This window comes from Homo sapiens, chromosome 13 (genome assembly GCF_000001405.40).
Source record: "Homo sapiens chromosome 13, GRCh38.p14 Primary Assembly".
Taxonomy (NCBI): domain Eukaryota; kingdom Metazoa; phylum Chordata; class Mammalia; order Primates; family Hominidae; genus Homo; species Homo sapiens.
This window is the reverse complement of record NC_000013.11, coordinates 72,501,604-72,511,161: the sequence shown is the minus strand read 5'-3', so window position 1 is coordinate 72,511,161 and position 9,558 is coordinate 72,501,604. Positions and strand designations below refer to the sequence as shown.

Here is a 9,558-nt window from a genome sequence, read left to right as displayed (position 1 = left end):
TCTATTGTACCTCTAAAAAACCCATCATTTAAGAATCTTAAAGACTTAAAATTATGATCATAGAGTTGACATGCAAAATAACAAACCTGGATAACTTTATAAATTTAGCAAATATTTATATAGCACCTACTGTGTACCAGACACTATTCTTGGTCATTATAAAGATGAATGAGAAAGAAAACCCCAAACTAGGAGTCACATGGAGCTTCCAGAAGGCAACAGATAGCAATACGTGAGAGGAAAATGCCTTTAAAAACATGTATTTGATAGCTTTATATATTAATTGGTATTACACCATAGCACCTACCCTGAATGGTGAGAAACACCAAGTCACTAGTTGCCAATGAGGGGGAGATTTTCTGTTGCAGCTTCCTGTCAGATCTTCTGGTTTAGGGGATGGTATTCCATTGTGAATGGTTGTGTTATTGGGCTGACTGCAGCCAGTGCTGATGCTCTTGTATGGGTTCTCAGAGTCCTTAATTTACAGGGACTATCCCTAGCATCCCTCCTTTCCTGTTCCCAGTCATTCCGGAGCTTCAGATTGAGGTGGGATGGGCTGTCCTCTGCTCCACAGGCCACTTGGAGCACTCTGGTGAAGCCTGGGCCACGGATTAGAAATCTGGAGACATGGTTTCAAGTTCCAAATCTGTGGCTAACCCACTATGAGCTTTCTAAGGTTGCATCTGACTCTGCCATTCTAGGGATATGTCCTTGTTAGACTGTGAGTTTACAGCATTAGCAACCGTGTGTAATTCATGTTTGTATATCTGGTGGTAAAGAAGGGATGGAAGATAACATTTCCCACATCGAGTAAAGATTGCTCCTTCCTTTTATGCACCTTGCTTATTTGATGTAGATCCAGTTTTCTATTCAAAGGACAGATATTTTACTGTATTACAACTAACTCATTTTATTGTTAGAAAAATTAATGCAGATATCATCAGCCAATGGTACCATGACTAATACCCCATTTAACTGTAGTGATTGAAATTTTTAACATTATTTAAAAATTTTCCTAAAATGTTGACCCTTGTTTCTTAAAAGTAGTGAACATAATTTGTTAGCCAGCATTTTGATCCTTTCATAGTAGAAATCACTTCTGATAATCACTAATTGTATGAAAGCATATATTAGTTGGCAGTAATTGATGGGCTACTGAGGGTATCAACTGAAATTCTCACTAAATATTGTTGAAAGTAGAAAAGTTTTGAAAATATTACATAGAAAAGCAAAGTGTCATCTAAAATATGATAAACTTTTCATGTAAAACTCTAAAGTGAAAATTTTCAGGGTAATGTTTTAGAGACATCGACATTGATTAGTTATTAAGTAGTACAAACCTTGGCTGGCTGTGGGGATTTAGACAAATCACTCCACTGAGAGCCTCAGTTATCTTCTCTGTACCCTGGGTTTGGGCCGGGATAGGCTACCTGGGCTCTGCAGCTTGCCGGTTCCTAGATCCTGAAAACGGTACTTGAATAACCCGAAGAATTGCAAAAGTCACAAATCTTCCTTTTAGAAGAAAACTCTAATGTATTTAGACTGCCAAACGACCTCAGATTTCCTATAACATCCATTTGTGTACTATAGGTAAACTGTAATTTCATTCAAAATTTCACAGTTACTTAAGAATATTCAACTTTAAGGGAATAACTCTTCCATTCCCTTCCTACTCAAGTGAACAACACTTAGGAAGACATTTTTCTAGGATTGTTTAACAAACACAAAAGTGCACCTAACTTGCCCACCAAGTTTTAAATAGATTATATTCAAAAGTGGGTAAACTTGAACTGCTTTCAGATTAGAAGTAAAATATGATACTTTTGAAAAGGTTCTATTATCAGTTGCCTGCTGAAATTTCTATTAATTTATAGCATTTGAAGCAGATTATAATAAATAAGCCCTTTACTTCTTAGCATCATACATCTTATTGTCTACAGGATCTGATGAGTAACTGATTAAATTAGCACAACCTTTCTCTGCATTGAGACACGGGACTTTATTGGCAATAGTATATATCATGTCTCAACAAATTCCTCTGTGATTTTTCTTAAGCCTGTTAGTTTGATTCTATTCAATCAATAAGAAATGTTCATAAGAAAAATATTGCTGTTAGATTCTTATTCTTTCTCCAGGACACATTATAGTTTAATTTGCCAGAAATATTTCTATGTATACACAATAAAAGCTTTCTCCGTTTGTCAAATATGAGGGTGCTAAAGTTATCATTGTCAAATACATCACCTCAGGCTATAAAGCTAACGATATGCATTTGATCACCTTGCCAACTGTTTTATATCTGAGAAACAAAGGAAACTACACATGTATATTAAAACTGATTAGCATTGTACCCTAAAGCAATTAAATAAATATTAGAAGAAACTCCCACAGCCCTTTGTTTTGCTATAAGGGGCTCAGCTGTGCTCCTTCTAACCCTAACTACATCACTTCAAATTACCAGTAAATTAACGGAGGAACACTTTCAACCTCAGAGCAGATTTGATCCAAATAGTCTTTAAATGCCATTTCTGTTCCTATTAACCTAAAGATCGGCATAGCAGATATTTTCTCGAGGCTGCCCAGCAGTCCAGGGCATTAACGGCGAAGTTGTGACAGCACTTTTCATGATGATTTATGATTCCGTGTTTAACTTGATTACGCCAATGCTGACTCTGAATACTATTTCAATTAGTGCACAGAAGGTCACATCACAAATATTCCTCTATAATCTATTCCTATTAACACTAATACACAGAGTAACCAAATCTTTTCACCCTTGTTGATTCACATCATCCATAGCCCTAACTGCAGGCTTGTTTACCAGTTTACTGCTTTGGACACTTCCGAAATGGTAATTTTCACTCCTTTGAGTATCGTTAATAGCTGTACCATGACACAGGGAATAAAGCATCTCTCTGCTGGCATTTGTGCATTAATAATTATCAAAGTCTCAGATTTATTAAACAGGAGGTATGCTTTCTAAAATGCCTGTCTAAAGCGTTATTTCATGACCAATTACTAAATAAATATACAAAAGATTTTTTAGGGAAATGAAACTGGCTTCCGCCTAAAATCAATTTTAGCAACAACTCTTCTCTTATTATTGCTCCCTTAACGACTTCAGGGAACTGCTCCTATTTATATGTAACCAATCATAATCCTGTTTTCTTTTCTTTTTTTTTTTTTTTTTGACTAATCTCTATGTCTAATCATTGGGGAAAACCGAGAATATTGGGTCATCAGGTCTTTCCTTTTTACCTGCAAACTGTTTATTAAACAGTCCCTGTGGTACAAAATTAAGACTACAAAGAGGAGCGGAGTTTTACTGAAAAAAAGTTTTCAATTTGTCCAAAGGTTAAAGTGAAACCAACTGCTAGAGACAAAATCCACACAGCATTTAAACAATTAGTGAGGAATGTTCAAAGACTTTATGTTCAAAGTGTGTACAATTTGTATTTTAAGTTGTATGTGGAGGGAATCTAGACTTAAAGTTAATTAACAGTAAACCAAGAGGGCTTCATCACAGACGTTTAACTATGCACAGAGAGGCTGGCGTCCAGCAGAGAACGTGGTGAGAAGTAGGAGTGGGAAGCTGGAATGTCACAGTGCTCAGTGGGTCCCCTGTAAATGCTTTATTAAGAATGATGATGTCAGCCTTGCAAAATATTAAAGGGGCCTCGTCTCAGTGGTTTGCTTTTTTTCTATTTTTTTTAGTGCCCTTAAATTTTTTTTTGTTTAATAACAAGGTATTTACAGAGGGAAAATAAAAAAAAATCCCAATAGTAAAGTAGCGTTTCACGGCTCACTATTGCCAACTCCTTGACAATCTAGCTTTTAGGGGGTCTCTAGCAATCAAAAATTATGTTCGTATCTTTATGTTCATATCTCTCTCAGCTGATTTTACTGATTGTTCATGAGAGATTTGCTGTAGGCTAAGTGCTTATTGAAGCAAGAAACAGCTCTCCTTTTTTGAGGGAGGAGCTGAATTTGCATGATTATTGTATTTTAAAAAGAACAACCAATCGAATTTATAACAATATCAATTGATATGGTCTTATTTCTTCTCAGTGTTTTAATACAATTGTTTCACATACTACTTCAGCCAAATGTAGACAGCTAGCCAATACTATGTATCAATCCAGCCTCTTTTCCCCAGGCACTAACTCACTTTCTTCCTTTCAGAATTCATTTCTTTCCATTGACTCTTTTCCCTAAATTCCACTGGTAGGTCATCTTTCAGACCTCTGTCCCATATTCCAAAGGTCTACCCTCTCCTACTAATCCTAGTTAGACTATTAACTGACAAGTCAGTGTCTAATACTGACTAAATGTGTAACCTCCTTCATAGTTTTAAAAAAGGAATCTTTGAGCTGGACCACCTTTATGCCTGTGATCCCACCTACTTGGGAGGTTGAGGTGGGAGGATTACTTGAGCCCAGAAGTTGGAGACCAGCTTGGGCAACATAGCAAGAACCCTGTCTCTACAAAAAAATAAAATAAAATAAATTAGCCAGACATGGTGTCTCACACCTGTAGCCTCAGCTACTCAGGAGGCTGAGGTGGGAGAATTGCTTGCGCTCAGGAATTAGAGGTTATAGTGACCTGCAATTGCACCACTGCACTCCAGCCTGGGTGACAGAGTGAGACGCTGTCTCTGAAAAACAAAGGAATTTTTGAGAATGTAAAAAAACAAACTACACTAGTAAAATGATGTGTAGTAGCATTACAATTTGTGGATGAAGGTGCTGCTAAACAATGCTTTTAATACAACAGACTCTTGGCCTTGGTCCCCCTGCAGCGGCTACATACAAGGTCTAGGAAGACACAGTTCCTGTCTTTGAGATGTGCATGTCTGGTCTCAGATATAGATGATGCCTAAAGCTGAAGTAAAAGTGGACTCCAGCTCATAAATTTCCAACCATCTATTTTCATATTGTAAGGTAAACTCCAAAAACTTGAGAAACCAGGAAGATCCTTCTTTATCCCTTTCAATAATGTAATTAATGGGCTATGTACAGTGCCTGGCAAACAATAGGTGCTCAAGGAAAATTAGTTTTCTTCCTCCAATTCTCTTTATCACTTTTTACGCTTCCTGTTTCACTTACTCTACCCTGGACTCAACTTTCAAAGATGAATTGGCCAGAAGATGGAAGCCAGTAATTCTGGAGATGTATATTCTACAACTGTCTCCCAAATCCTGCCCTTCACTGTGGTTGATGTCAAAATGCATTTGAACAAACAAGCTGTTTGGAAAGTTTTTTTTTTTTTTTTTTTTTTTTTTTGAGGCAGGGTCTCACTCTGTCACCCAGACTGAAGTACAGTGGCATGATCACCCCTTATTGCAGCCTTGAACTCTTGGGCTCAAGTGATCCTCCCGCCTCAGCCTACTGAGTAAGTAGCTAGGGGCTACAGGCATGTGCCACCAAGCCCAACTAATTTTTAAATTTTTTTTGTAGACACAAGGTCTTGCTACATTGCCCATGCTGGTCTGGAACTCCTGGCTTCAAGTGATCTTCCCACCTCAGCCTCCCAAAGGAGATTTTTTTAAATAAACAAATGATTAACTTTCCATTCCAGTACTGGAATACTGATTAAAAACTTATTTTGAAGTAGAACAAAAATGCAGGTGGGGGATGGGAGAAGAATTTCATGCCAGGATAGCAAAGTAAGAGAGAGAATCATCTAATTTCTCTTAGTTGCCTGTAGACACACTTAAGGGGGCTTAAGTATGGACTGACAAAGATGAATGAACCTCCTTATTGTTGCATTAATAGGATAGTTAGAGTTAAGGATCAGTGAGCATTTATTCTTATAATAAAAGCTTTCTTTAGTTTTCCATATAAATGTACTTCTTTGTATAATAGTATCTGTGTAGTAATCATAAGTGATGCTTAGCCTACACGTCTGAGTGATTAGGGAATAGTTATAAATTTTTATATGCATATATCTATATCTCCACATGGATATAGCCTTCCTTCCTTTCACAGGTGGTTCATAAAAGGGTTGTAATAGAAAAGATCCACTTCAAATGAAAGGTTGAGCTGTTATCTCTAGATTGAGAGCGATCACAGAGATTAGCCCCTTGCCCTGAGTAATTTATAAAAAGCAAATGAGGAGCTGGTGGCCATGAAAATAAATATAATTAACCCACTTAGAAAAACCTTCGCCCTTGCTACAGATAGTTTCTGCTTGATCAGGATGACTGTAATAACACACAAATAAATTAAGAAAAAGATTCCAAGATTTTAAAGTTTCTTTCTAATTTCTTCATAAATAATTGAACTGTAGAAGAATAGGCCCATTTTTCAAACTCTGAATAAGCACCTCTTGTATATGAGTCAGTTCATAATTTTTGCACAGATGTCACACTCCACAGGATATAAAAACAAACTAAAGATAGCCAGCCATATAATGTGTAGATATATCATCGTTACAGATGCTCAGTAGAGCTTGGGCAGTTTTTTTTTTCCAAAACAAATCTCAAATCTACATATTTTGAAGATATAAATTCCTCATTTGTTATTCTTGGACATGTTCTTTATTTTTTTAAAGTGAATTTTTATAAAGTTTCAGGCCCACAAAGCTGGCATGCAACTGACACGGCTGGAAGAGCATCCCTACACAAAGAAGATACAACAAAGACAGGCAGTGTGTTTTTCTGACACAGCCTATGAGAGCCTGCTTAGTGAGAACTAACTGCATCCTCTCCAATTAATTCAGGCTTTTGGCTCAGCCATTTGTAGTTCGGTACCCTGACAAAGAATCTGCAAATGTTACCAACACATGTGATTTAGTGCAAATCTTCCTTTCGGGGTCTGGAACATACAACAGTGCATCTCTTAGAGCTGGGTAGAAGGAGGAAAAATCTTTAATAGACTACATACAACAATGCATCTCTTAGGAACTGAGTGGAAGAGGGGGAAATCTTTTATAGATGGTTCTTCCAGTTGGTTCACACACATGATTCATTTGAGCTCTCTCAGCGGGCTGATGAAATTATGTGACTGCTGCTGCTCCACTATATTTCTATGACAGTCTAAACAGAGGGTTGAGTAAGGTTAAGGTGGTTCTCTGGGAATTCTGGGGACAGCTGGTTTACAAAAAGAATGTCAAATATTGATCATAATCCTTTCCTCAGAGAGCACCCTAAAAGGGAGGGTCCAGCTGGAGGTTTCATTTTGGTGGCAGAATACTGTTCTTACAGGGAGTTTGATAGCCTAGGTTTGAACCCTGACTCTATTACATCTCAGTGTACGACTCTGAGTTATTTCACTTTCTAAGCCTCAGTTTTTGCATCTGTAAAATCAGGATGATAATGGTACTTAGCTTTAAGTTATTGTGAGGATTAAATAAATAATGCAGGTAAAGTGTCTGGCACATAGAGCTTAACCCTTGTTTTTATTGTTGACATTTTGCACATTACTCGGAACCCTTTTCTGCAAGGTCTGTGGGAATCACAGGAAACAAATAAAGGGAAGCATTACTTCAAAGGGAAGGAAGTAAACCAGGGAGCCTGTCACATCCAGCAGTGACATAGGTTAAAAAATACACAGGAAATTCTTTGCCAATCAATGTATTAATAATAGTATTAATAACAATATAATGGTAATGGTAGTAGCTAACATAAATTTTATCTCATTTACTTATTAAATCAAACCAATATTTTATGAAGTGATTCCAGTATTGGAATAAAAATGTAATTCTTTAATCATTAAAAAATCTTTATGAATACCTTACATCAACTGTAGGGGACCAACCAGGGAAAAGCAGGGAGACTTGTAGAATCTACACCTCCAGAACAACCGACCTCCATCTTCTGGACAACTCGTCTTCTAAAGTGCAGGACAGACTAGTTGGGGGAGAAAGGAGGAAATGAAAGAGATAGACTAAAAGGGAGGGAGAGAACAGATATTTTTTAAGTACCTGTTATGTTCTGGATACAGCACAGAGTACATTGTATCTATTATTATAAGGCATAAAGAAAGATTTCTCAGGTTTTTGGAGTCAGATTGCAATATAAAATAATAGACAGAAATTGAAGACAAATGGAATAAGCATTTCCTCATGTAAACCCTAAGCTATCTCTGTAATTTAGAATGTGGGACTAGATAGACTAGAGATCCAATATATTATACTAATTCTTTAGTACTTCTTTCCTGTTCTGAAATTCTCACAGAAGTCAGTGAGCAGATGAACCTCTTCACCAAATCTGTTTGACAACTACTTTCTGTGATGTCATGAGGCAAATTACAATTTATTATGTTATTATAAATGTTAGGAGTAACATGGACGTGTTAGACATTTTTTTTCTTCTATTTTCTCTCCTACCTTCTTTAATCCCTTAACTTCTTCCTTTTCTTCTCTACACCTACCTACCTTCCCTCCCTCTCTCTCTCTTCCCCTCTCTCCCTCCCTTGTTCCTTCCCTCCCTCTCTCCCTCCCTCTGTTCTCAGTAATTAAAAACTAGATAGAATAGTTTTTCAGGTTATATCCCTGACTTTAGTCATCACACTTATTATCACAAAATTTGATTTTTTGTAACTATTCAGTAATCATTTCTTGTTATTGTACTAGAGATATACTTTCCTAATCAGAATAAATTCAAGGATACCCAAACTACAATAGGAAGAAATTGGTTAATGAATGTGATATCCATATTTATTGTTCCCTATGTAGGCTTTTTCCTCTGTTATGGATTCTAGAATGTCATACACAAAAAAAGGCTGCAGAGAGATTTCATATCTGAAGTGAAGTTAATTTTAACAGATGTAAGTAAGGTCTCTACACTACAAGATATGGATTCCTATTTAAATTTAAAAATCCCCCAAATATGAACTGACCACTTCCCCTAAACAAACTTTGTCCACTATAATTTTGGTAGACTCAGGTTAAACAGAATTTTCTCTACATATTATAAGTTACTTGGATACATATGAATTAAACTTAGTAATAATACTTTGCTGTTAATATTAAACCTTGAATTTTGAAAAACAATTCTAACTGAATTTGCCCTTATTGAATACTTCCTATAAAAAGTGACAATGCTTATGGTGCCGACAGCTGGAAAGCCTCTTGGGGATGTACCAGTCTGCAATAAATGAAAAACTCTTTTAGACTGAATTTTAGTTGTGTATTGTTATTTGTCTTAGAATTCATTTATTAGTCCAGAGATAATGTGACAGTTGACTCTTACAGTAACACAGTACTCATTAGCTAGCCTGACAGGGAGGTGCCAACATCCGCTGGAGACTGTATTTTATTAATCTTCATGGCTCATTTGGAAGCCTGGCTGGCTATCTTGTAATGTGCCCTCGTGCTGACTGGGACTGGGATATGTAGCCATGCTTATGACTGAAAAATATAAACTTGCATGATAAGATCTTTCTCCTTTCTCTGACCTGAAATGCAGAAATCTAGTAAAGCCCAAGTGGAATGCTGTAGCATCCAATAAAAATTTCTTCCTGAGAATCCGTAGCATTCCTTCTAGATGCTAAGGACCATTTGCATTTAAAGCTACTCAGTGCTTGGTTGGTATACAGTTGTCCCTTGGCATCCATG

At 36.7% G+C, this 9,558-nt stretch overlaps 1 annotated feature.

The window, feature by feature from the left end:
* Positions 1,546 to 3,853: an enhancer, noted in NCBI's record as "VISTA enhancer hs142". NCBI's record gives its function as "enhancer in: limb[3/3]" and the evidence as "EXISTENCE:transgenic organism evidence [ECO:0001131][PMID:17130149]".